Source organism: Homo sapiens, chromosome 5, assembly GCF_000001405.40.
Source record: "Homo sapiens chromosome 5, GRCh38.p14 Primary Assembly".
Lineage (NCBI taxonomy): Eukaryota > Metazoa > Chordata > Mammalia > Primates > Hominidae > Homo > Homo sapiens.
In genome coordinates, this window is record NC_000005.10 from 179690890 (window position 1) to 179717846 (window position 26957).

The 26957-nt window shown below is 45.7% G+C and overlaps 1 protein-coding gene and 1 pseudogene across 14 annotated transcripts in view, besides 6 other annotated features; both read left to right on the top strand.

The window, feature by feature from the left end:
* CANX (calnexin) overlaps nt 1-26957 on the top strand; it is a 52986-nt gene that overhangs the window by 12234 nt on the left and 13795 nt on the right. For 3 of the 14 annotated variants that reach the window (NR_157048.1, NM_001363998.1, NM_001363999.1), the window contains exons 1-8: nt 8040-8213; nt 14790-14963; nt 15369-15442; nt 16243-16301; nt 17350-17491; nt 18089-18170; nt 18984-19176; nt 25216-25405. Coding sequence is in view for 13 of the 14 variants with exons in the window: in NM_001363998.1 (NP_001350927.1) it covers nt 14793-14963; nt 15369-15442; nt 16243-16301; nt 17350-17491; nt 18089-18170; nt 18984-19176; nt 25216-25405 (911 nt within the window). In the remaining variant the exon portion in view is untranslated. Of the gene's footprint in view, nt 1-7537; nt 7715-7897; nt 7937-8039; nt 8214-8685; nt 8882-9585; nt 9645-14789; nt 14964-15368; nt 15443-16242; nt 16302-17349; nt 17492-18088; nt 18171-18983; nt 19177-25009; nt 25112-25215; nt 25406-26957 lie in introns of those variants that run through there. The other 11 variants (NM_001363993.1, NM_001363995.1, NM_001363994.1 and 8 more) reach the window with 11 other exon arrangements.
* HMGB3P22 (high mobility group box 3 pseudogene 22) lies at nt 3289-3897 on the top strand (annotated as a pseudogene).
* Nucleotides 7183-7712: an enhancer, noted in NCBI's record as "active region_23756". NCBI's record gives its function as "activates an Ori minimal core promoter by ATAC-STARR-seq in GM12878 lymphoblastoid cells {active_cell/tissue: GM12878}" and the evidence as "EXISTENCE:reporter gene assay evidence [ECO:0000049][PMID:35858748]".
* Nucleotides 7723-8132: a silencer, noted in NCBI's record as "silent region_16731". NCBI's record gives its function as "represses an Ori minimal core promoter by ATAC-STARR-seq in GM12878 lymphoblastoid cells {active_cell/tissue: GM12878}" and the evidence as "EXISTENCE:reporter gene assay evidence [ECO:0000049][PMID:35858748]".
* Nucleotides 8173-8462: a silencer, noted in NCBI's record as "silent region_16732". NCBI's record gives its function as "represses an Ori minimal core promoter by ATAC-STARR-seq in GM12878 lymphoblastoid cells {active_cell/tissue: GM12878}" and the evidence as "EXISTENCE:reporter gene assay evidence [ECO:0000049][PMID:35858748]".
* Nucleotides 9273-9332: an enhancer, noted in NCBI's record as "active region_23757". NCBI's record gives its function as "activates an Ori minimal core promoter by ATAC-STARR-seq in GM12878 lymphoblastoid cells {active_cell/tissue: GM12878}" and the evidence as "EXISTENCE:reporter gene assay evidence [ECO:0000049][PMID:35858748]".
* Nucleotides 13846-14346: an enhancer, noted in NCBI's record as "OCT4-NANOG-H3K4me1 hESC enhancer chr5:179131736-179132236 (GRCh37/hg19 assembly coordinates)". NCBI's record gives its function as "activates a minimal SCP1, AML or CMV promoter by ChIP-STARR-seq in primed H9 embryonic stem cells {active_cell/tissue: H9 hESC(primed)}" and the evidence as "EXISTENCE:reporter gene assay evidence [ECO:0000049][PMID:30033119]".
* Nucleotides 14347-14847: an enhancer, noted in NCBI's record as "OCT4-NANOG-H3K4me1 hESC enhancer chr5:179132237-179132737 (GRCh37/hg19 assembly coordinates)". NCBI's record gives its function as "activates a minimal SCP1, AML or CMV promoter by ChIP-STARR-seq in primed H9 embryonic stem cells {active_cell/tissue: H9 hESC(primed)}" and the evidence as "EXISTENCE:reporter gene assay evidence [ECO:0000049][PMID:30033119]".

The window sequence follows — 26957 nt, forward strand, 5'->3', positions numbered from 1 at the left end:
AAAAAAAATAATAAGTAACATAAATGTTAATTTGACTTTTTGGTTTGTATTATAGGTAAAATTATAAACATGGTTTTATATTGATATGAGCTATAAATTTATAGTGGGTTTATGTTTATAGACATTGATATATTATTTTTTTACTTCATTTTTTTGAGACTGTGCTCACTCTGTTGCCCAGGCTGGAGTGCAGCAGCATGATCTTGGCTCATGGCAACTTCTGCCTCCCAGGTTCAAGCAATTCTCCTGCCTCAGCCTCCCGAGTAGCTGGGATTACAGGGCCTACCACCATGCCCAGCTAATTTTTGTATTTTTGGTAGAGATGGGGTTTCGCCTCGTTGGCCAGGCTGGTCTCGAACTCCTGGCCTCGAGTGATCCACCCACCTCAGCCTCCCAAAGTGCTGGGATTACAGGTGTGAGCCATCATGCCTGGCCTATATACATTTAAACAACACTGTGTGGCTGGTTAATATTTTGAAATGTTAGCCAGTGTATTGTTTTTTCAGGCAGACCAAGCTGAGTAAAAAAGTGAGTGGGCCGGGCACAGTGCTTCATGCCTGTAATCCCAGCATTTTGTGAGGTCAGGGTGGGAGGATCCCTTTAAGCCCAGGAGTTTGAGACCAGCTTGGGCAACACAGGGAGATCCCATCTCTGCAAAGAAAAAAAAGAAAAAAAAATGAGTCAAATTGCCTGATCATGAAAGGGAGAATGAAGCAGATGTCATTTGGCTCTGGAAGACAGGAAGAGCCACTACACTGCAATCCCAGCTCGGGATAGCATGAGGCGAGGCAGTACTCTCTTCCTCTCCTTGGGCTCTTTGACATCCCTATATACTTTCCTTGAGGTAGTTTCACTATATCTCTCTTCTTTATTATTTATTTTATTTAATTAATTTATTTATTTTTTGAGACGGAGTCTCGCTCTGTCGCCCAGGCTGGAGTGCAGTGGCACGAACTCAGCTCACTGCAAGCTCTGCCTCCCGGGTTCACGCCATTCTCCTGCCTCAGCCTCCCGAGTAGCTGGGACTACAGGCACCCGCCACCACGCCCGGCTAATTTTTTTTGTATTTTTTAGTAGAGACGGGATTTCACCATGTTAGCCAGGACAGTCTCGATCTCCTGACCTCATGATCCACCCACCTCAGCCTCCCAAAGTGCTGGGATAACAGGCGTGAGCCACCGTGCCCGGCCTATTTTTTTTTTTGAGACAAAGTCTCGCTCTGTTGCCCAGGCTGGAGTGCAGTGGTGCGATCTCGGCTCACTGCAACCTCCGCCTCCTGGGTTCAAGTGATTCTCCTGCCTCAGCCTCCCAAGTAGCTGGGACTACAGGTACGCACCACCATGCCCGGCTAATTTTTGTATTTTTAGTAGAGACAGGGTTTCACCATGTTGGCCAGGCTGGTCTTGAACTCCTGACCTCAAATGATCTGCCCATCTCGGTCTCCCAAAGTGCTGGGATTACAGGCATGAGCCGCTATGCCTGGCCATCTGTGTTCCTTATAACCAAAAAGAGCCCCCGGTTTAAAAGCTCTTAAAGGTCTGGGAGCAGTGGTTCACATCTGTAATCCCAGCACTTTCAGAGGCCAATGGAGGATGATCACTTGGAGCAGCCCCTGAGCAACAAAGAGCCCCTGTCTAATTATTTTATTTTTTAGAGACAGGGTCTTGCTCTGTTGCCCAGGCTAGTGGAGTGCAGTGGCATGATCATGGCTCACTGCAGCCTCAACCTCCTGGGCTGAATCTATCCACCTACCTCAGCCTCCTGAGTAGCTGGCACTCAGGCATATGCCACTAATTTTTTATTTTCTGTACAGATAGGGTTTTGCCATGTTGCCCAGGCTGGTCTCAAACTCCTGGGCTCAAGTGATCTGCCTGCCTCGGCCTCCCAAATTGCTGGCATTACTGGCAAGAGCCATCGCATGAGCACATAGTACATAATGATTCCTTACAAACCAGTATGAAAAAGACAAAACCTAGGCTGGGCGTGGTGGCTCACGCCTGTAATCCCAGCACTTTGGGAGGCCAAGGCGGGTGGATCACGAGGTCAGGAGTTCAAGACCAGCCTGGCCAAGAAGGTGAAACCCCATCTCTACTAAAAATACAAAAAATTAGCCGGGCACAGTGGCAGGCGCCTGTAGTCCCTGCTACTCAGGAGGCTGAGGAAGGAGAATCATGTGAACTCGGAGGGTGGTGGTTGCAGTGAGCCGAGATCATGCCACTGCACTCCAGCCTGGGCAACAAAGTGAAACTCCGTCTCAAAAAAAAAAAAAAAAAAGACAAACCCTATAGTGGAAAAATGGACAAACGACATGAATAGAGAATTCACAAAGGAAAAAAAATATATATGGTTAATGAACATGAAAAATGTTGGCCAGGTGCTGTGGTTCACACCTGTAATATCAGCACTTTGGAAGGCTGAGGCAGGGAGATCACTTGAGCCCAGGAGTTTGAGACCAGCCTGGGCAAGAAAGTGAGACTCTATCTCTACAAAAAATAAAAATTAGGCTGGGCACGGTGGCTCAGGCCTGTAATCCCAGCACTTTGGGAGGCCAAGGCAAGTGGATCACCTGAGCTTAGAAGTTTGAGACCAGCCTGGCCAACATGGCGAAACCCGATCTCTACTAAAAATAGAGAAATTAGCCGGGTGAGGTGGCACATGCCTGTAGTCCCAGCTACTCTGGAGGCTGAGGCAGGAGAATCGCTTAAACTGGGAGGTAGAGGTTGCAGTGAGCCGAGATTGTACACTGTACTCTAGCCTGGGCAACAGTGAGAATCTGTCTCAAAAAAATAAAATAAAAATAAAAACTAGCCACGCATGGTGGTGCATGCCTATAGTCTTAGCCACTTGGGAGGCTGAGGCAAGAGGATCCCTTGAGCCCAGAAGTTTGAGGCTGCAGTGAGCCATGATTGTGCCACTGTACTCTAGCCTGGCCGGTAACTTGTCTTAAAAAAAAAAAAAGTTTAATTTCACTGTAATAAAATAAACTTCAATTAACATAGTTACATATCTTTTTCTTTGTCCATCATTTTGACAATGCCAGATTAGCATGAGTATAGAGAAACTTTAGAGAAATGACCATTACCAGCCTAACTATTAAGAAAGTAATGGGCCGGGCGTGGTGGCTTATGCCTGTAATCCCAGCTACTCAGGAGGCTGAGGCAGGAGAAGCGCTGGAACCCGGGAGGCCGAGGTTGCTGTGAGCTGAGATCCTGCCATTGCACTCCAGCCTGGGCAACAAGAGAGAAACTCCGTCTCAAAAAAAAAAAAAAAAAAAAAAAAAGGAATGAGAGCGAACAATACAGCCAGGATGGCTAAAGGTGACCCCAAGAAACCAAAGGGCAAGATGTCTGCTTATGTCTTCTTTGTGCAGACATGCAGAGAAGAATGTAAAAAGAAAAACCCTGTCAATTTTGCAGAATTTTCCAAGAAGTGCTCTGAAAGGTGGAAGACAATGTCCGGGAAAGAGAAGTCTAAATTTGATGAAATGGCAAAGACGGATAAAGTGCACTGTGATCGGGAAATGAAGGGACCAGCTAAGGGAGGCAAGAAGAAGAAGGATCCTAGTGCCCCCAAAAGGCCACCATCTGGATTCTTCCTGTTCTCTTCGGAAATCCGCCCCAAGATCAAATCCACAAACCCTGGCATCTCTATTGGAGATGTGGCAAAAAAGCTGGGTGAGATGTGGAATAACTTAAATGACAGTGAAAAGCAGCCTTACATCACTAAGACGGCAAAGCTGAAGGAGAAGTACGAGAAGGATGTTGCTGATTCTAAGTCGAAAGGGAAGTTTGATGGCTCAAAGCGTCCTGCTAAAGTTGCCTGGAAAAAGGTGGAAGAGGAAGATGAAGACGAGGAGGAGATGAGGAGGAGGATGAATAAACAAAGTGTTTATCTGTCAAAAAAAAAAAAGTAAATGGATAAAAATGTGAGTGCTCCCTCTCTCTGTGTGCCCACTTTCTCCTTCAAGCAAAAGGTAGGCATGAGCAAGGATGAGGGTGGCTTTGAGGGAAGGATGGAGAGACAAGCTATGAGAAGAAGCTGGATACGAAGGATAAATGGATCAACAATTTTGTTTACTCTTTTAAACATACTGCCTATTTTGAAAAAAGTACAAAAGCTAAAGCTAAAATTTATTCCTTTTTTAAGTTTTTATTTCTTTCATTTATTTATTTATTTTTGAGACGGAATCTTGCTCTGTCTCCCAGGCTGGAGTGCAGTGGCGCGATCTCAGCTCACTGCAAGCTCCGCCTCCCGGGTTCACGCCATTCTCCTGCCCCAGCCTCCCCAGCAGCTGGGACTACAGGCACCCGCCCCACACCCGGCTAATTTTTTTGTGTGTGTGGTTTTTTTTAGTAGAGACGGGGTTTCACCGTGTTAGCCAGGATGGTCTCGATCTCTTGACCTCGTGATCCACCCGCCTCGGCTTCCCAAAGTGCTAGGATTACAGGCGTGAGTTTGAGGCGGAGTTTCACTCTTGTTGCCCAGGCTGGAGTGCAATGGCGCAATCTCAGCTCACCGCATCCTCTGCTTCCTGGGTTCAAGCGATTCTCTTGCCTCAGCCTCCCGAGTAGCTGGGATTACAGGCATTAGCCACCATGCCCGGCTAATTTTGTATTTTTAGTAGAGACAGGGCTTCTCCATGTTGGTCAGGTTGGTCTCGAACTCCTGACCTCAGGTGATCCACCCGCCTTGGCCTCCCAAAGTGCTGGGATTACAGGCGTGAGCCACTGTGCCTGGCCTATTTTTATTTATTTATTTATTTTTATTTTTATTTTTTTTGAGACGGAGTCTCGTTTTGTCGCCCAGGCTGGAGTGCTGTGGCGCAATCTCCGCTCACTGCAAGCTCCGCCTTCCGGGTTCACACCATTCTCCTGCCTCAGCCTCCCGAGTAGCTGGGACTACAGGCGCCCGCCACTGCGCCCGGCTAATTTTTTGTATTTTTAGTAGAGATGGGGTTTCACCGTGGTCTCGATCTCCTGACCTCATGATCCACCCGCCTCGGCCTCCCAAAGTGCTGGGATTACAGGCGTGAGCCACTGTGCCTGGCCTATTTTTATTTTTTTAGACAGGGTGTTACTCTGGTACAGTGGCCCAATCTTGGCTCACTGCAGCCTTGACCTCTTGGCCTTAGACAATCCTCCCACCTCGGCCTCCTGAGTAGCTGAGACTACAGGCTCAAGCCACTATGCCAAGCTAATTTTTGTATATTTTGTAGAGATGGGGTCTTGTCATGTTGCCCAGGCTGGTCTTGAATCCTGGGTTCAAGTGATCCACCCACCTTCGCCTCCCAAAGTGCTGAATTAGAGGCATGAGCTACCTCACCCGGCCTGATTCTTTGTTGAAAAAATCATATGCATGTTTAAAGAAAGTGTCATTTCTTTTTTTTTTTTTTTTTTTTTTTTTGGAGACAGAGTCTGGCTCTGTCACCCAAGCTAGAGTGCAGTGGCACAATCTTGGCTCACTGCAACCTCTGCCTCCCGGGTTCAAGCGATTGTCCTGCCTCAGCCACCCGAGTATCTGGGACTATAGGTGTGCACCAGTATGCCCGGCTAATTTTTGTATTTTTAGTAGAGATAGGGTTTCACCATGTTGGCCATACTGGTCTTGAACTCCTGACCTCAGGTAATCCGCCCGCCTCAGCCTCCCAAAGTGCTGGCATTACAGGCGTGAGCCACTGTGCCTGGCCAAGAAAGTATTTCTGCTTCTAGAGTTTCAGGCCCCCTCTCCAGCATTAACCTTTCCTAGCAGTTTCTCGTGTTTCTTTCTAGTAAGCTTGTTTGGCCAAGCTTACATGTATGAGAATACATCTCCCTTTTCAGTATGAAAGGAAACACACCTTTCTCTGTGCTTTTTCACATGACACTAAATCTTGACTGTTGCTCCATGTCAGAATGTAAACAGGCTGTAAACCTCTTGTTACTGCACTTCCTTTTATTGGTTTTCACAGATGCTGTGTTTTTACAAATTGAATGTGGCAACCCTGCATCAAGTAAGTCTATAAGCACCATTTTTCCAACAGCACGTACTCACTTCTGGTCTCTGTCACATTTTGGGAATTCGTATAATATGTTTTCATTATTATATCTGTCATGGTGATCCAGGTTGATGTTACTATTGTAATTGCTTTGGACTGCACAAACGATGCCCATGTAAAACATCTGTTTGTTTTTATTATTTATTTATTTAGAGACGGGTTCTCACTCTGTTGCCCAGGCTGGATGAAATGCAGTGGCCTGATCTTAGCTCACTGCAGCCTCCTCAATCAGGAGTCAAGGATACTCCTGCCTCAGTCTTCCTAGTATCTGGGTCTACGGGTGTGCACCATGCCAGGCTAATTTTTTTATTTTTATGTTTGTAGAGACAGGGGTCTCACTATGTTGCCCAGGCTAGTCTTGAACTCCTGGCCTCAAATGATCCACCTGCATCAGCTTCCCAAAGTGCTCAGATCACAGGGAGAGCCACCTCGCCCAGCCAATTCTGACCTCTTTGCCAGTCCATTCTGGATGGAAGCAGTCCCTCCCCTTCAGAATCCCATTGAATTCTCCATAGTACCACAGTCTTTTGGCACTTACCTTTGCAGGAGTAGCTCTTTTGCTCACAAATGTACTTCCTGTAACTACATTTTAAGCTCATTATTTGGATCATGTAGCATCCAGAATTTTATTCTGCTTTGAATAGCTGCTTCCCCAGGTAGACAGGAAACCAAAATTCTCCTACACAAATTTTGGGGCTGAAGTTGGGGCGCCGTGGCTCACGCCTGTAATCCCAGCACTGTGGGAGGCAGAGGCAGGTCGATCACCTGAGGTCAGCCTGGCCAACATGGTGAAACCTGTCTCTACTAAAATACAAAAATTAGCCGGGCGTGGTGGCGGGCGCCTGTAATCCCAGCTACTCGGGAGGCTGAGGGAGAATCGCTTGAACCCGGGAGGCGGAGGTTGTAGTGAGCTAAGATCGCACCACTAGACTCCAGCCTGAGCGACAGAGCAAGACTTCGTCTCAAAAAAATAAAAATAAAAAAAATTTGGGGGTTGAGGGTTGGATGATACTAACTCATGCAAACACCAAACCCTGCCTTTCTTCCCCTTCCCGGTGGCAAGAGGGCTTTTCAGATCAGTGATACATTCGCTGATTCTAGTGTTTTCCACCCTAGTAGTCAAGCCTTTGGGTGTCCAAACAAATAGAGAACAAGAGATCAGGATCTCTAAAGGTCTAGAAAAACCCTGGGCCACTTCCATTTTGTGAGGTTCTCAGCATACTGAAAACTGAAGATGTACTAAGAGTGGGTTACTAAAATGGTGGCGTATCTTAAATCTTTCCATGGCACCATCCTTTCTCTCGTCCTGTCATCCCTGTATCTCTCTGCCCTGACACCTAATCTCACTTCAGGAAACATAAATTGAAAGTTCAAATAACCTCGGATTATATTATTCTGGACTGTGTGTTATGCTGGGCGACGAGGCTGCGCAGGCTCCTGGGCCGAGCCATGACTCTGCAGGAACTGCGGCGCCGGCTCACACAGCGCGGAGCAGTGCACGCCAATCCGGCCAGGCGCTCGCGCTGGGTTCTGCTCACGCCCGTAGGGGCCCGCGTTCGCTGCAACGGGCCCTTCCTGATGGCCGATCGTCGGACTCCTACCCCTTTTGCCGGCTGCCGTTTGCCCCGTCAGCGAAGGGCGCGCGATGCGTCCCAAGTCTCGGCTCCAGGAACCAGACGGGTGAGGGCTACTGGGGGTTGGGTTGGAACGCCCCGAAGGCACCACAGCAACCGACGCGGGAACGCCTGTTAAACCAGCCCCGCCCCGAGACGCGCGCGCCCGGCGGTCTCGATCCAGCGTGGCCCGCCCCTCACCTCCCGCCCAACCAACAGCCACTTCCTGCCTCACTCCCGGCCAATCTTCACACTCCACGAAGAATAGCCGTAGGGGGCGTATGGGACGGTGCGTAGAGCGATGCCCACGCCGGCCAACCGGATGTCGGGGCTTGCGCGGGAGGGCGGGACTTGGCGCCGGCTGTGGCTACTCAGGGGCCAGGGGCGGGCACAGGGCCGGGCTTCGTGCGGTGGGGCTCGCTCGCGCGGCAGCGGTGGCCGAGGCCTCTTGGTTCTGCGGCACGTGACGGTCGGGCCGCCTCCGCCTCTCTCTTTACTGCGGCGCGGGGCAAGGTGTGCGGGCGGGAAGGGGCACGGGCACCCCCGCGGTCCCCGGGAGGCTAGAGGTGAGAGGGGAGACCTGAGCGCGTCCTCGGGCCTGTGAGGACCTCGGGGGGCTGGGAGCGCCTCTGCGGCTGAGGGGTCGGGCGTGGCCGGCGACTGAGGGGTCGGGCTGGCTCTTGAGGGCCCAGGCCCTGGCCGACGCGCCCGCCGTGAGCGAGGAGGCCCGAATCCGGGCGTCTTTGGTTGGGTTGCGGGCCCAGGCCGCGCCGCCGGGGTCGGGAGGCGTGGCAGGTGGCCCGACAGCCTTCTTTGACCTCTGGGAAAGCTGACTTATTCCTATGGCTTTGCTTCTAGGGCTTTCTTAGGCCTCTTTGCCGGCTGCCTGGGCAGCCGCGAGGTGGGCTGGAGTAACTGGGTAAAAGTATAGGGTGGAATCGGGCCTACTAGGTACCCCTAGTAGTAGGGAAGGGTGGTATTAGACCGAGAGGGAATGTTTACAACTAGCGTTACAGTTTAATATTTGAAAATCCAAAGCGGAGACTGGACCCTAGTTCCCTGAAGAGAAAGGGGAATGTACCAGAAGGAGAACACGCAGTGGTTGAGAAACTTAGCAGTTACAGCACCTATTCTGGAGGCGAGTAATCCAGTTGGAGAGGGACAGGGCGTTAAAAGCAGGAAAGCCCCCGAAAGCTCATCTAAGTGCATCTCTTTCCACACCGGAGGCCTGGAGGTATGAAATGACTGGCCCAAGGTCATGCGATTAGTGTACTGATGGTGCTGGGATTATAGTTCAGGGATAGACCGTGCAGTGGTTAACGCTAAGGCCCTGGCTCGAGTCTTTGATTGGTCATTGGTTGCTCTGTGAACTTCGGCAGTTTTCTTACCCTTTGTGCCCCCGTTCTTGTCAAGTAATGGATATAATAATACCCGATGGATTTGTGAGGATTAAATTAAGATATGTATACAATAAGACAGGGAAGTCCGACATTTAGTAACTGCTCGATGATCATTGCGGTACGTTATTATAATCTGAATGCCTTTGGACCAATACACTGCCATCCTAGTGAACTGGTTCAGTCCTGTTTCGCAGGACCTGAGGTCACAGTTATGGTGATAGAAGAAACCGGGCATTGTGTATTACCGCTGGGCATGACACAAGTGATTGCTGGTTGAGGGAAGTTAAACTGAGCTTAATATTAAAAGATTGAGAGGACAAGATTAACCATAGTTAAGTCTTTTTACCTCTGATTTAGGAAATGGAAGATTTTGCTTAATTTTTTAATAAGTAGATTTTTTTAAGGGGGAAGAATTTTATTGATCTTTAAAATCATTCTGTATCTCAGTCTTTTCCCAACATTGTTTGAGGGTCATGAATAGAAGCAACTGCCATATGGATCAACTGTTGTACATTTGGTATAATTATACTTAGAGCAGAGGTAAAGGACTATGTGGGAGTTCTCCTGTGCATCAGCCAGGGTGCACACACAAGCCAGGTAACTGGATCATGAGAATGCTCGAGTGAACTGTGTGTGGGGGTCAGTGTTGCACAACAGAAATTTTCTGACTTATCTGCAAATGGCTGTCAGCATTCCCCGACACCTTACTATCCTTACTCCCCAGTTCATTTAGCGCATTATCTTCTCAGGGCCACAAGGGATAAGTGTTTTGACAGAAGTCGTTGCTGCCGTTTTGGCAATCACACTATTGCATCCTTTTAGTTAGAGTTCTCTTTGCCCTGGAAGACAGCTTAAGGGGATGAAGTGGCAGTTGGTGAGCATGAATTGCAGGCTCATGAAACTTGAATTGTGTGCCCAGTGTGGTAACCTTTTTTTTTTTTTTTTAGACGGAGTCTCGCTCTGTCACTCAGGCTGGAGTGCAGTGGCGCGATCTCGGCTCACTGCAAGCTCCGCCTCCCGGGTTCACGCCATTCTCCTGCCTCAGCCTCCCTTGTAGCTGGGACTACAGGTGCCCGCCACCACGCCCGGCTAATTTTGTTTTTGTATTTTTAGTAGAGACGGGGTTTCACCGTGTTAGCCAGGATGGTCTCAATCTCCTGACCTCGTGATCCGCCCACCTCGGCCTCCCAAAATGCTGGGATTACAGGCGTGAGCCACTGCGCCCGGCCCAGTGTGGTAGCTTTTGTCCCACTTTGGTTTCCGTAACTTCAAAATAGGAATGAGAAGTCTCCTGGGTTCCTCACCTTTAGGGGGCAATTGGGAGGGGCAGATAAAATGGTGAACATGAAACTACTTTAAAAAGTGTAATGAATTGGCTGGGCACGGTGGCTCTCACGCCTGTAGTTCGAGCACTTTGGGAGGCTGAGGTGGGCGGATTACTTGAGGCCAGGAGTTGGTAACCAGCCTCGCCAAAATGGTGAAACCCTGTCTCTACTAAAAATACAGAAAATTAACCTCCAGCTACTCGGGAGGCTGAGGCAGGAGAATCACTAAACCTGGAAGGCGGAGGTTGCAGTGAGCGGAGATGGTTCCATTGCACTCCAGCCTGGGTGACAGAGTGAGACTCCATCTCAGGAAAAACAAAAAAAAAAGTGTAATGAACTGTGCAAATAGAATACGCCGTTTATAATAACTCCTAGGAAATAATAAAAGTACCTAAACAGTTAAAACCTATACAGCTTTTGGTAAAACTTTTCAGGAAAGTCCTGGTTGAATTCTTTGTTACTCCAACAGATGTACTTTTTTTTTTTTTTTTTTTTTTTTTTTGAGACGGAGTCTCCCTCTCAGGCTGGAGTACAGTGGTGTGATCTTGGCTCACTGCAACCTCCGCCTCCTGGGTTCAAGCAATTCTCCTGCCTCAGCCTCCCAAGTAGCTGGGACTACAGGTGCCCACCACCACACCCGGCCCGGTTTTTTGTATTTTAGTAGAGACGGGGTTTCACCGGGTTGTCCAGGCTGGTTGCGAACTCCTGAGCTCAGGCAGTCCGCCCACCTCGGCCTCCCAAAGTGCTGGGATTACAGGTGTGAGCCACCGCGCTCAGCCTTACTTATTTTTTTAGAGACAGGGTCTTGCTCTTCATCAGGCTGGAGTGCAGTGGCGTGGTTATTGCTCACTGCAGTCTCAAACTCCTGCTGTTATTGGTTCAAGTGATCTTCCTGCCTCAGTCTCCTGAGTAGCTGGATCCACAGGCGGATGACGCTACACTCAGCTAATTTTTTTTTTTTTCCTAATTTTTCATAGATACTTCGCTTTGTTGCCCAGGCTGGTCTCGAACTCCTGAGCTCAAGCGATCATCCTGCTTCCTCCAACTCCCAGAGTTCTGGGATTACACGCGCGAGCCACGATGCCAACCAGGAGACCAGAAATTAAGCTCAGCTTTCTTTCTCTCCCTTCTTCCCTCCCTCCCTCCCTCCTTTCCTTCCTTCCTTCTTTTTTAAAACTTTGTGGTATCTGTTTGTGAATTGCTTATTTTACTTACCATATTGTCTTCAAAGTTCATCCATGTTATAGCCGGTGATGGGATTTCCTTCCTTTTTGAGATTGAATAGTATTCCATTGTATGCCTATGCCACATATGGTTTAATCATTCATCCATTGATGGACACTTGGGTTGCTTCTGACTGTTGGCTGTTGTGAGTAGTACTGCTATGAACACGGGTCTGCAAATATCTCTGAAACTCTGCCTTCTTTTTCTGTTTGTTTGTTTGTTTGTTTAAGGCAGTCTTACTCTGTTGCCCAGGCTTGAATGCAGTGGTGCCATTACAGCTCACTTTATTTTTTATTTTTTTGAGACAGTCTCACTCTTGTTGGCCAGGCTGCAGTGCAGTGGCGTGATTTCAACTCACACTGCAAACTCCACTTCCCGGGTTCAAGCTATTCTCCTGCCTCAGCCTCCTGAGTAACTGGGATTACAGGCATCTGCCACCACACCCAGCTAATTTTGTGTTTTTAGTAGAGACAGGGTTTCTCCGTGGTGGTCAGGCTGGTCTTGAACTCCCGAACTCAGGTGATCCACCTGCCTCGGCCTCCCAAAGTGCTGTGATTACAGGTGTGAGCCACCACGCCCAGCCTGCCCAGCTAATTTTTGTATTTTTAGTAGAGACAGGGTTTTGCCATGTTGGCCAGGCTGGTCTCGAATTCCTGACCTCAGATGATCTGCCTGCCTTGGACTCCCAATGTGCTGGGATTATTGGCGTGAGCCACCGCGCCTGGTGGAGTGGTGGAGTCTTTTTTTTTTTTTTGAGGTGGAGTCTCTGTGGCCCAGGCTGGAGTGCAGTGGCGCCATCTCGGGTCACTGCATCCTCCGCCTCCCAGGTTCAAGCGATTCTCCTCCCTCAGCCTCCTGAGTAGCTGCGGCTACAGGTGTGCGCCACCACACTCGGCTAATTTTTTGTATTTTAGTAGAAACGGAGTTTCATCATGTTTCCCTGGCTGGTCTCCTGAGCTCAGGCAGTCTACCAGCCTCCCAACGTGCTAGGATTACAGGCGTGAGCCACCCCACCCTGCCCAACGACTCACTTAGCTTCAACCTGTCAGACTCAGGCTTCTCCTACCTTAGCCTTCTTAGTATCTGGGACAACAGGTGTGTGCTACCATACCTGGCTAAATTTTTCTTTTTTTGATTTTTTGTAGAGACAGGATAATTTTTTTTTTTTTTTGTATAGACAGGGTCAGGCTATGTTTATGTTGGCCAGGCTGGGAAATAAGGTCTTAATAGAGGAAGTTGAAGATTCCTGGGGGAATAGCATGTAGAGCAGCTATAGAGGGAGAGGGTGCTGATTACTAGCTAAAAGACTTAGAAATTTTTGCAAACATGGACTCATGATAGTTTTTGGGTGATGAGTCTTCTTGTAGGATAGCTTGAAAGAGGAGGAGGAAACTAGAGGCCCTGGTAATATAAGGTAACATTAAGTATCCTGATGTCAGTAATGGAGAAGAGTGAAAGACTATGATTGATTGGGTGACTGTGTGGGCAGAGGATGTGAGGAGAAAAGGACATCTTGTGTGTGTGTGCGCACACATTTTTAGTTGTGTATCTTCTACTTGTTTTCTCCCCCACCTTGTACCTGTACTTTCTCAAGCCCAAAAATGAAAATTTACCTGCTACCAACCACATCATCTTGTGCATCTGTGTAGCTCAGTTTTTATTTCTTTAGATCTGTGGTCCTCCGTGGAAAGAGAGCCACTACCCCAAGACACATCTAATATAATACACAGGGCGCTTACGTGGTTAGAAAAGAAGAGATAAGCCGGGTGCGGTGGCTCACTCCTGTAATCCCAGCACTTTGGAAGGCCGAGGCGGGCAGATCACGACGTCAAGAGATTGAGACTATCCTGGCCAACACGGTGAAACCCTGTCTCTATTAAAAATAACAAAAATTAGCTGGATGTGGTGGTGCACACCTGTCATCCCACCTACTTGGGAGGCTGAGGTAGGAGAATCACTTGAACCCAGGAGGCGGAGGTTGCAGTGAGCCAAGATAGTGCCAATGCATCCCAGCCTGGCGATAGAGCAAGACTCATCTCAGGAAAAAAAAAAAAAAGGAGCTTGTTTTGGCCAGGTGCAGTGGCTCACGCCTGTAATCCCAGCACTTTGGGAGGCTGAGGCAGGTGGATCACCTGAGGTCAGGAGTTCGAGACCAGCCTGGCCAACATGGCGAAACCCTGTCTATACTAAAAGTACAAAAATTAGCCGGGCATGGTGGTGGGTGCCTGTAATCACAGCTACTCAAGAGGCTGAGGTGGGAGAATTACTTGAACCTGGGAGGCGGCGGTTGCAGTGAGCTGAGATGGTGCCACTGCACTCCAGCCTGGGCGACAGAGGGAGAATCCATCACAAAATAAATAAATAAAATATATAAATTTTAAAAAGTAGCTTGTTCTTAGTTTAATATTCTTTTTGAGTTCTAAAACGCTAATTTGAAAACATGTCTATTGATGATATTTGAGCAACCGTATCCATATTAAGCCTTAATATGAGAGGAATTATCTTCTGTGTTAATTTTTTTTTTTGAGACGAACTCTTGCTCTGTCACGCAGGCTAGAGTGTAGTGGCGTGCTCACTGCAACCTCCACCTCCTGGGTTCAAGCAGTTCTCCTGACTCAGCCTCCCAAGTAGCTGAGACTACAGGCGCCCGCTATCGCTCCCAGCTAATTTTTGTATTTTTAGTAGAGAAGAGTTTCGCCATGTTGGCCAGGCTGGTTGTGAACTCCTGACCTAGTGAGCCACCTGCCTCGGCCTCCCAAAGTGCTGGGATTACAGGCGTGAGCCACGGCGCCCGGCCATCTCTGTTATTTCATTGTAATGTTTTAACGGGTACCCCCTGTAAATTAGTGTATGAAAGGGCTTTTGTCTGTTGTAAAGCACTTTACAAATGCAAAAGTTTGTTGGAAATTGTATTTGAATGCCCCACATCTGTGTAACCAATCCTCTCTATATGAGGATGTTGTGTATGTTTCAGTTTTATTTTGAAATTTTCCAGAAATGGAATCTTTTAACTGATTTTAGGGAAACCCTTTAATCTCTCTAGGCTGCCTTTCTTTATCTATGAAATGAAATAGTAAGTTCTTTTTAGCTCTGCGATTTAAAAGCTTTAATTTTAAATGAGAGAGTGGTTAGTGATCTTCATGAAGTTTGATAGGTGGCAATACATTTAACTGATTTTGCTCTTTATGTGTAGATCATGGAAGGGAAGTGGTTGCTGTGTATGTTACTGGTGCTTGGAACTGCTATTGTTGAGGCTCATGATGGACATGATGATGATGTGATTGATATTGAGGATGACCTTGACGATGTCATTGAAGAGGTAGAAGACTCAAAACCAGATACCACTGCTCCTCCTTCATCTCCCAAGGTTTGAAATGGTCTTTGAATCTATTCCTTTTACGTCTTGAGATGATAAAATTATGAAGATACCCGGGTGCAGGGAAATGTAGTCTCAACTACTCAGGAGGCCTAGGACAGGAGTGTGAGTCCAGCCTTGGCAACACAGGGAGATATCATCTCTAATAAAATATAAAAGAAAAACATGGTGAAGATAAATTTGGAACGTTTTCAAAGGGAAAGCAAAATTCGTGAAAATACTTATTGATCTCTCTGGCAGCCTTTGTCTTGCTAGAGGCCAATTATATGGGTTGAATTTGAAGGCCAGCTATGAAATTTTTGTGACAGTTGAAAGCAAACCAGGAGAATAGATTCTAGATAAAAAGGCATGTTGCTGAAAATTTAAATTTTTAATTCATTTATGTATTTAACACAGGTTACTTACAAAGCTCCAGTTCCAACAGGGGAAGTATATTTTGCTGATTCTTTTGACAGAGGAACTCTGTCAGGGTAAGTGTTTTCCAGAGAAATATATGTTAGAGGCAGACATGTAAATAAGATGGGATAGTAGATTCCTTTTTGGATAGCATCTTTTATAGTGAAATGTCTAACTTTATTTTATTTTATTTATTTATTTTTTGAGACAGAATTTCGCTCTTTTGCCTGGGCTGGAGTGCAATGGCGTGATACCGGCTCATTGCCACCTCCGTCTCCTGGGTTCAAGTGATTCTCCTGCCTCAGCTTCCCAAGTAGCTGGGATTATAGGCATGCGCCACCATGCTGGCTAATTTGTGTGTGTGTGTTGTTATTTTTTTAGTAGAGATGGGGTTTTGACATGTTGGCCAGGCTGGTCTTGAACTCCTGACCTCAGGTGGTCCACTTGCCTTAGCCTCCCAAATTGTTGGCATTACAGGCATGAGCCACCGCACCTGGCCTGAAATTTCTAGCTTTAATATCTTCAGTGTTAACATCCATGCAGGAAAATAGTCTTTTGGAATTTGTGGTTTTTACTTCCACTTCTTTCCCTCCCCCACTCTACCCTATATTTTGTTCTTTGATTGAGGAAAAAAATTTTCTCTTGATGTTAAAACATCAGTGGAATTATCTCATAGGTTTGGTACTTTTTCATATAGGTTTGTGAGTTGAAGATAATGTATTATCATTAGTTGTGTGACAGATTTAAAGGTTGGAAGTAGAGTGGTTAAATAGGCTAAGAGCAGAATAGGTCCTACTTTAATGAGTATTTACATAATTTTCCCTCACAAGTCAACTGTCATTTTAAGACTGATTTTGGGATTTGTTATTTACAGGTGGATTTTATCCAAAGCCAAGAAAGACGATACCGATGATGAAATTGCCAAATATGATGGTGAGAATCCCATTTGGTTTAGATATAATAGCAGATAGAGGTTTGACATGTTGTCTCCATGGCATTTCCTAAGACTAGTTTAAAAGGACATAGTAGGCTTTAAGATTTTTCCAGCCAGGTGCGGTGGCTCACGCCTGTAATCCCAGCACTTTCGGAAGCCAAGGCGGGCAGATCACGAGGTCAGGAGATCGAGACCATCCTGGCTAACACAGTGAAACCCCGTCTCTACTGAAAATACAAAAAATTAGCTGGGCGTGGCAGCGTGCATCTGTAGTCCCAGCTGCTGGGGAGGCTGAGGCAGGAGAATGGTGTGAACCCGGGAGGCCAAGCTTGCAGTGAGCCGAGAACGCGCCACTGCACTCCAGCCTGGGTGACAGAGCGAGACTCCGTCTCAAAAAAAAAAAAAAAAAAAAGATTTTTCCATGGAAGTTTTGCCACCTTTGTGTGTTGCCTAATTTTTTTTTTTTTTTTTTTTTTATTTAAGGTTCAGGGGTGCATGTGTAGCCTTATATTTAATAGGATTAGATCTGTTTAATCACCTGTGCTACTGAATGTTGGAAATTTCTAGACAGTAGTATAATACACTACAGTTTTAAAAAGCCATATCTGAATAATATTTGCCAAATAAAGTGTGTTTATTTATTATTTATTTACTTTTTTGAGACGGAGTCTCATTCTTGCCACCCAGGCTTCTGGAATAGAGTGGCGTGATCTTGGCTCACCGCAACCTCTGTTTCTTGGGTTCAAGCGATTCTCCTGCCTCAGCCTACCGAGTAGTTGGGATTACAGGTGCCCATCACCACGCCCGGCTAATTTTTGTGTTTTTATTAGAGATGGGGTTTCACCATGTTGGCCAGGCTGGTCTCGAACTCCTGACCTTGAGTGATCCGCCTGCCCTCAGCCTCCCTAAGTGCTGGGATTATAGGTGTGAGCGACCACGGCTGCCCCAGTATAATATATTTATGCAACTAGGAGGTGTTTTTTTTGGCATTTAAAGGACCTTCAGAGGTAGAGTTAAGCAGTGGAACTTTTTTGTGTTGTCTTGTAGGAAAGTGGGAGGTAGAGGAAATGAAGGAGTCAAAGCTTCCAGGTGATAAAGGACTTGTGTTGATGTCTCGGGCCAAGCATCATGCCATCTCTGCTAAACTGAACAAGCCCTTCCTGTTTGACACCAAGCCTCTCATTGTTCAGTAAGTGAAATGCTTGTTGGATAAAAGCTTTCTGCAAAGGGTAATCTTAGAAGACATTATGTAACTTTTACTCTATGTTAAAAAATTATGAGATTATATAAGTGGTGGTAGGGATTTTTGGGTGAATTTAAACACCTTGTAATTAATAGTTTTTCCTGGCTAATGCATTATTTTGAAAGAAACTGGTTACTTATTTTCCTGACTCTAAATAACTTGTAGATTTTGCAGAACAAATTTACCGGAAATCTGCATTAATAGTTTTTGTAATTAATTAATTACAAAACTAGTAATTAATAGTTTTTCCTGCCTAATGCATTATTTTGAAAGAAACTGGTTACTCATTTTCCTGACTCTAAATAACTTGTAGATTTTGCAGAACAAATTTACTGGAAATCTGCATTAATGTTCAATTTAATTTTATTTATTTTTGTGGCATTTGATAACTATTCAAAAACAATAGAAGATGGAATCCTTTGTAAGGGTAAACATTTGACCTATGATAAAACGTGACTAAGATGAGGGAGAGAGGAAATACATTAAGAGAGTTTCGATCTTTCAAAATGCCATACAGTTTTCTGCTTTTCTCTCTGATATTAGGTATGAGGTTAATTTCCAAAATGGAATAGAATGTGGTGGTGCCTATGTGAAACTGCTTTCTAAAACACCAGAACTCAACCTGGTATGTAATTCCCATTTCTGGAATGTGGCTGGACACCCACTATTACCTTGTAAGAATTTTGTAATTGGGCCGGGTGCAGTGGCTCACGCCTGTAATCCTAGCTCCCAGCACTTTGGGAAGCCAAGGCAGGCGGATCACGAGGTCAGGAGATTGAGACTATCTGGCTAACATGGTGAAACCCCATCTCTACTAAAAATACAAAAAATTAGCCAGGCGTGGTGGCAGGCGCCTGTAGTCCCAGCCACTTGGGAGGCTGAGGCAGGAGAATGGCATGAACCTGGGAGGCGGAACTTGCAGTGAGCCGAGATTGCGCCACTGCACTCCAGCCTGGGCGACAGAGCGAGACTCCATCTCAAAAAAAAAAAAAAGAGAATTTTGTAATAATTGTGAAAATAAAGGCTTCCTCCCCTGCTGTTTAACTCTTTTGATGAGTTGGGAAAATTGACTTTGACGCTAACGTGCTTTTTATTTGAAGTGTAAATTACAAAGTTGTTACCAACTGTTTTTATCTGAATTTCTGGTTTTGCTTCTGTGTAAGTTTTAGTTTTGGCAAGCTTATTTCTTTGTTTTATGAGGAAGCAATAACTGTCTAGATGTGTGCATTACTTTTTTTTAGACACTTAAACGTTATTTTAAATTTACTGATGATTGCTGGTTATTCCTTTTTACTAAACAAACTTGTAGTTAGCTTTTCCTTTAACTGTCACTAATATATTTGGAATTTTATAAGAGGAATTATCATACACTTTTGAAACGTTGCTTTTGAACACTTTGAGTACAGTGACTTCAAATAATCCTTTTTTGTTTTTGAAGGATCAGTTCCATGACAAGACCCCTTATACGATTATGTTTGGTCCAGATAAATGTGGAGAGGACTATAAACTGCACTTCATCTTCCGACACAAAAACCCCAAAACGGGTATCTATGAAGAAAAACATGCTAAGAGGCCAGATGCAGATCTGAAGACCTATTTTACTGATAAGAAAACACATCTTTACACACTAAGTAAGAAAAAGCATTAGTTTGGGGGCTTATGGTATTACATATATATCATCCATTTAATTTAAAGATTGTATATCTGGCCGGGCACTGTGGCTCACGCCTGTAATCCCAGCACTTTGGGAGGCCGAGATGGGCAGATCACCTGAGATCAGGAATTCGAGAACAGTCTGGCCAAAATGTTGAAACTTCACCTCTACTAAAAATACAAATATTAGCTAGGCATGGTGGTGCACGCCTGTAACCGAAGCTAGTTGGGAGGCTGAGGCAGGAGAATTGCTTGAACCTGGGAGGGAGCCAAGATCATTGTGCCACAGCATTCCAGCCTGGGCGAAAGTGAGACTCAATCTCAAAAAAAAAAAAAAAGGCTGGGCGCGGTGGCTCACACCTGTAATCCCAGCACTTTGGGAGGCCGAGGCGGGTGGATCACAAGGTCAGGAGATCGAGACCATCCTGGCTAACATGGTGAAACCCCGTCTCTACTAAAAATACAAAAATATTAGCCGGGCGTGGTGGTGGGCACCTGTAGTCGCAGCTACTTGGGAGGCTGAGGCAGGAGAATGGCACGAACCCGGGAGGCAGAGCTTGCAGTGAGCCGAGATCGCGCCACTGCACTCCAGCCTAGGAGACAGAGCAAGACTCCATCTCAAAAAAAAAAAAAAAAGATTGTATATCTGGAGAGTACCCCAGCCTCCAAACAAGAAGAATCTCAGCCTGGTATGGTTGCTCATGCGTGTAATCCCAGCACTTTGGGAGGCTGAGGCGGGCGGATCACTTGAGATCAGGCATTCGAGACTAGCATGGCCAACATGGTAAAACCCCGTCTCTACTAAAAATACAAAAATTAGCTGGGCGTGGTGTTGAGTAGCTGGTGTAATCCTAGCTACTCGGGAGGCTGAGGCAGCAGAATTACGTTAACCCAGGAGGCAGAGGTTGCAGTTGAGTCAAGATTGTATCACTGCACTCCAGCCTGGGTGGCAGAGGAAGATTCTGTACCCCCTCCACGAAAGAAAAGAATCTCTTCACTTTAGTATCTTAGTTGGGAAATGACCTTAATTTGTCAGCATTAAAAGAAGCTTCTTGGCCACGTATGGTGGCCCACACCTGTAATCCTAACACTTCGGGAGGCTGAATCGGATGGATTGCTTGAGTCCAGGAGTTCCAAACCAGCCTGACAACATAGTCAGACCCTGTCTCTACAAAATCTTAAGAATTAACTGAGTATAGTGGCATGTGCCTGTAGTTTCAGCTACTCAGGAGGCTGAGGTATGAGGATTGCTTGAGCCCAGGAAGTCGAGACTGTAGTGAGCCATGATCTTGCCACTGCACTGTAGCCTGGGTGACAAAGTGAGATGCTGTCTCAAAAAACAAAACAAAAAACCCAAAAAACTTCTTTTCCACAGGAACTGAGGTTCGAGATAATTTTAAGAATAGAATAGGTGTTTTTGGCCAGGCATGGTGGCTCGTGCCTATAATCCCAGCACTTTGGGTGGCCGAGGTGGGCGGATCACCTGAGGTCAGGAGTTTAAGACCAGCCTGGCCAACATGGTGAAGCCCCATCTCTACTAAAAATACAAAAATTAGCCGGGCATGGTGGAGGGTGCCTGTAATCCCAGCTACTCAGGAGGCTGAGGCAGGAGAATTGCTTGAACCCTGGAAGCGGAGGTTGCAGTGAGCCAGATTGTGACACTGCACTCCAGCCTGGGCGACAGGAAGACTCTGTCTCAAAAAAAAAAAAAAAAAAATTGGTATTTTTTGCTGGACATGGTGGCTCATGCCTGTAATCCCAGCACGATGGGAGGCTGAGGCGAGCAGATCACTTGAGGTCAGGTGTTCAAGACCAGCCTGGCCAACATGGTGAAACGTCATCTCTACTGAAAATACAAAAATTAGCCGGGTGGGGTGGTGGGCGCCTATAATCTCAGATACTCAGGAGGCTGAGGCAGGAGAATCACTTGAACCCGGGAGGCGGAGGTCACGGTGAGCCAAGGTCATGCCATTGCACTCCAGCCTGGGCAACACAGTGAGACTCCGTCCCCCACTCCAAAAAAAAAGGTGTTTTTTTTTTTTTTTTCTACAAAGAGCTTTGCTGATCTAATTTCTTCCTTTTTTTTGTTGTTGTTGTTGAGAAATGTTGAATAATAGAATAAGTTATATTTATAATTATACATAAATCCAATAAAAATAGTTTTTCAGAAGTATCTTGTAGTTGAACTTATTTGGATGCTCCAATACCTGGACAATTGACAATTGAGTTGAATCATTTTGATACAGGGTTTTTTTTGGTTTGTTTGTTTATTGAAGCTTTTCCTGCTAGTTTGAGATCATAAATAGGCATGCCTCTTTCTGAAGAATATAATAACCTTTTTTTTTTTTGAGATGGAGTTTCACTCTTGTTCCCCAGGCTGGAGTGCAATTGTGTGATCTTGGCTCACCACAACCTCTGCCTCTTGCATTCAAGCGATTCTCCTGCCTTGGCCTCCCAAGTAGCTGGGATTACAGGCATGTGCCACCACGCCTGGCTAATTTTTTTTTTTTTTTTTTTAGTAGAGATGGGTTTTCTCCATGTTGGTCAGGCTGGTCTCAAACTCCCGACGTCAGGTGATCTGCCCGCCTCAGCCTCCCAAACTGCTGGGTTATAGGCGTGAGCCACCGCGCCTGGACTACCTTTTTAATTTTTTTGAGGCGGAGTATTGCTCTGTCACCCAGGTGGGCGTGCAGTGGCGTGATCTTGGCCTACTGTGACGTCTGCCTCCCGGGTTCAAGCGATTCTCTTGCCACAGCCTCCTGAGTAGCTGGGATTACAGGCTTGTGCCACCATGCCCAGCTAATTTTTCTTTTTTTTATTATTATTATTTTTTTTTTTTTCCAGCTAATTTTTCTGTTTTTAGTAGAGACCGGGTTTCACCATGTTGGCCAGGCTGGTCTCGAACTCCTGACCTCAAGTGATCTGCCCGCCTCAGCTCCTGAAAGTGCTGGGATTACAGGTGTGAGTCACTGTACCCAGCCTAGAATATAACAACCTTTTTTTCTTTTTTTTGTGACGGAGTCTTGCTTTGTCATCCAGGCTGGAGTGCAGTGGCGCCATCTTGGCTCACTGCAGCCTCCGCTTCCCAGGTTCCAGTGATTCTCCCGTCTCAGCCTCCCCAGTAGCTGGGATTACAGGCACACACCACCATGTCCAACTAATTTTTGTATTTTTAGTAGAGCCTTGTTGGCCAGGCTGATCTCAAACTCTTGGCCATCTGTTGATCCGCCCACCTCGGCCTCCCAAAGTGCTAGGATTACAGGCGTGAGCCACTGAGCCCAGCTTAACCTTTTTTTGTTATTTCCAAAAGTAATACATATTTAAGGTATAGAAATTCAGAAGCCATAAGTAAGCAAAAAGAAAACACTTAAAGCGAGGGAGAGGGGTTGAAGACAAGTTGGTTAATTGGTACAGAAATAAGGTAGAAGGAATAAATTCTAATATTTGATAGTACAGTAGGGAAATTATAGTTAGAACAATTTATGGTGTATTTCAGAAGAGCTGGAAGAGAATTGTACTGTTCCCAATACAAAGAAAAAGTAAATGGAGCCAGGTGCAGTGGCTCAGGCCTATAATCCCTGCGCTTTTGGGAGGCTGAGGTGGGAGGATCACTTGAGGCCAGGAGTTCTAGACCAGCCCGGGCAGCATAGTGAGACCTTGTTCCTACAAAAAAATAATTATTCAGGCTTGGTAGCATGTACCTCTAGTCCCAGGTGCTCGGGAGGCTGTGGTATAAAAGGATCCCTTGAGTCCAGGATTCGAGATTGCAGTGAGCTATGATTGGGCCACTGCACTCCAGCGTGGGTCACAGAATGAGACTCTGTCTCTATAAAATAGAAAGAAAAGGTAAATGTTTAAGGTTACAGATATTTCAATTACTGTGATTTGTTTGTTTTGTTTTGTTTTGTTTTGTTCTTTTTGTTTTTTTGAGATGGGAGTCTCTCTCTGTTGCCCAGGCTGGAGTGCAGTGGCCTGATCTCAGCTCACTGCAACTTCTGCCTCCCGGGTTCAAGCGATTCTCCTGCCTCAGCCTCCTGAATAGTTGGGACTATAGGCATGCGCCACCATGCCCGGCCAATTTTTTTGTATGTTTAGTAGAGTTGGGGTTTCACCATGTTGGTCAGGCTGGTCTCGAACTCCCAACCTCAAATGATGGGCCTGCCTCAGCCTCCCAGAGTGCTGGGATTATAGGCATGAGCCACTGGGCCCGTCCAATGACTGTGATTTGGTCATTACACATTATATACATGTATCAAAATATCACACGTACCCCGAAAATATGTACAAGTACGATATGTCAATAAAAACATACACAAAGAAGTCACTTAAAATTATCTTAAACATCAGCATTGTGATATATATTTGTCAATATGTGTATATACACATATACAACTTTACATGCTATATCTAACTTTTTTATTTTTTTATTTATTTTTATTTTTTTTTTTGAGACGGAGTCTCGCTCTGTCTCCCAGACTGGAGTGCAGTGGTGCGATCTCCGCTCAGTGCAAACTCCGCCTCCCGGGTTCACGCCATTCTCCTGCCTCAGCCTCCCGAGTAGCTGGGACTACAGGTGCCCACCACCACGCTGGGCTAATTTTTTGTATTTTTGGTAGAGACGGGGTTTCACCGTGTTAGCCAGGATGGTCTCGATCTCCTGACCTCGTGATTCGCCCGTCTCGGCCTCCCAAAGTGCTGGGATTACAGGCGTGAGCCACTGCGCCCGGCCCTTTTTTATTTGAGACAGAAACACTGCAATCTCCACCTCCCAGGTTCAAGCGATTCTTGTGCCTTAGCCTCCCAAGTAGTTGGGTTTACAGGTGTGCACCAACATGCCCACCTAGTTTTTGTATTTTTAGTAGAGACAGGGTTTCACCATGTTGGCCAGGCTGGTCTCGAACTCCTGGCCTCAAGTGATCCACCTGCGTTAGCCTCCCAAAGTGCTGGGATTACAGGCATGAGCCACCACACCCGTTTCTTAACAACAAAAGAGTGTGAAGTTCTTCCTCACAGAAATATTCATTTTCATTATCACTGACACAGCAGCATAGGATTCCTTGTTTGGATGTGCTGTAACTCAGTCTCCTGTGTATTAGATATCTAGGTGTGGAATCTGGGCTTTAATATACATCACACTTAAGATGCTTTTATGGGGCCCATGTGGCTGGGCACGGTGGCTCACACCTGTAGTCTTAACACCTTGGGAGGCTGAGGTTGGGCAGATTGCCTGAGCTCAGGAGTTTGAGACCAGCCTGGGCAACATTGCAAAACCCCATCTCTACTTAAAATACAAAAAATTAGCTGGGCATGGTGGCACGGGGCCGTCTGTAGTTCCAGCTACTGCGGAGGCTGAGGCAGGAGAATCGCTTGAACCTGGGAGGCGGGCGTTGCAGTTAGCCGAGATCACACCACTGCACTCCAGCCTGGGAGACAAAGCGAGACTCTGTCTCAAAAAAATAAAATAAAATTTTAAAAAATGCTTTTATGGATTTAAAATTGTTTTTTCATTCTCCATGGGAGTTAAAAAGTAGAAAGTAGAATCATGAGTGGACATGCGTTTTAATAAATTGGAGGTTTGTGTAATTTCAGTAACGTAATAATACCAGCTCTATTAAAAATGAAGAAATGGACCTTTTGTACTGGGAAGTAGTTGTAAGTCCACGTATTTGTCTTCTCACTGGTGTATATGTGTAAGCCCAATAATTGTGTTAGTTTATGTAGTTTCTTGTTTTTTTTGTTTTTTTTTTTTAGTGTCTATAAGTCAAGTCTTTGGTGTTAAAGATTTTAACTATCATTTGCTGTAATTCTTAGAAAGCCGAGGGACTAATCATTTATGTTTCGTGCATAAGGAAATGGGCGTTAGCTTCCCCAAGACCCCAGGAGCCAGGCATTGTTCTTACCCCAAAGCCTCAGGTCAGACTTCTGCTGCTTCACGTTAGAAGTCATGATCTTTTGTATTATGGTAAAGGGAGCTTGGAAAATTAAGTACTTTTAATTCCATTTAATGTTTCTTTCAGTCTTGAATCCAGATAATAGTTTTGAAATACTGGTTGACCAATCTGTGGTGAATAGTGGAAATCTGCTCAATGACATGACTCCTCCTGTAAATCCTTCACGTGAAATTGAGGACCCAGAAGACCGGAAGCCCGAGGATTGGGATGAAAGACCAAAAATCCCAGATCCAGAAGCTGTCAAGCCAGATGACTGGTGAGTCTTGGGGAACTGTCTTCAAGTGTAAGGGAGCATTTCATATATTCCATGTGGCTTGAACAACGAAATGTTGGTTGAGTAAGCTCTGATAATTTCAGTAATCCATGATGCAGTCTAATCTGTAGGGAAAATATAGAGTACTATAGCTGGAAAGGGGCCATAGTGTAATCATCTGGATTGACTCACCATTTTACAAGCCACAGAATGCCACACTTGATAAGAGTTTGTCTGTGGTGACACTGTTGGTTTGTGGCAGAATCTCAGGTCCTTTAACCTGGCTACTCCAGGGCTTCTGTGAACTCACATTTAAAGCCAAAGTTCTGAAATGCTAAATTTTAATTTGAAAAATAACCTTTTTCCTATTTAAACAACAGTCAATTCTCTGCTGTGGGTTGGGTGGTAGAATACAAAGCCACAAGGACACCACCATCTGCCTACACAGAGCTTGAAGTCCAGTTGTGAGGCATGATGTTGGCATGTGGTATCGTAAGGGTTCATGAGAAGGTGCCACAGGAGACCAGAGCACCAGGTGTACCTAAACTAGGCATGGTTTCTTGGAGCAAGGCAAATCAGATTGAGACTTGGCAGTGAGGTGAGAATTAAGGAGTTGGTGAATATGGGAAGGGGTGTTTCTGATTGAAGAATGTCGTATGCAGAAGTAGAGGAGCAGCAATGAGCTTGACATGCGAGGGAGAAATTACATGGCCTTTTATGTAGGGTGCACATTGAAGAGTGAGGAGAAATGAAGATAGCTGGGGCTGTATTCTTGTATATGGCTGTCTTTGAACTTGCAACTTCACACAGTGACTCCAGAAATGTCAGAAAGTGAACAAAGAAATTCTTACCCTTTGTAAAATATCCTCCTATGCTTAGCAATTACATTCTAGATTATCTTTTTCCTCCTTGAAAGGTAAGATACATATAACTGAACTTTTGTACTGCACTAGTATAAATGCCAAGTTTACTTGTATATTTGGTGTATATTAGATTTGGACTTAGCCTTGTTCAGTATTATATTCCTTAACTAGCTTTATCACCTAAGAAGGCCCCTGTACCCATTAAGCGGCCACTCCCTGTTTCCTCCCCCAACTCCCAGCAACCACTAACCTGCTTTCTGCCTCTCTACATTTGTCCACTTTGTATATTTCATATAAAATGGAATCATACAGTATGTGGCTTTCTCTGTCCAGTTTCTTTCATTTAGCACAGTGTTTTCCAGGTTTATCTGTGTTGAAGCATGTATCAGTACTGCATTCCTTTTTATGATTGAATAAATTCTACTGTTTTGATAATGCCACATTTTATTTATCCATCCTTTGGTGGACATTTAGGTTGTTTGCTCCTTTTTGTCTGTGATTATGAATAATGCTGCTATGAATGTTCATGTACTGGTTTTTACATAAATATGTTTTTTCTTTTCTTGCTTTTTTTTTTTTGAGATGGAGTGTAGCTCTGTCGCCCAGGCTGGAGTGCAGTGGCGCCATCACGGCTCACTGCAACCTCTGTCTCCCGAGTTCAAGTGATTCTCCCGCCCTAGCCTCCCAAGTAG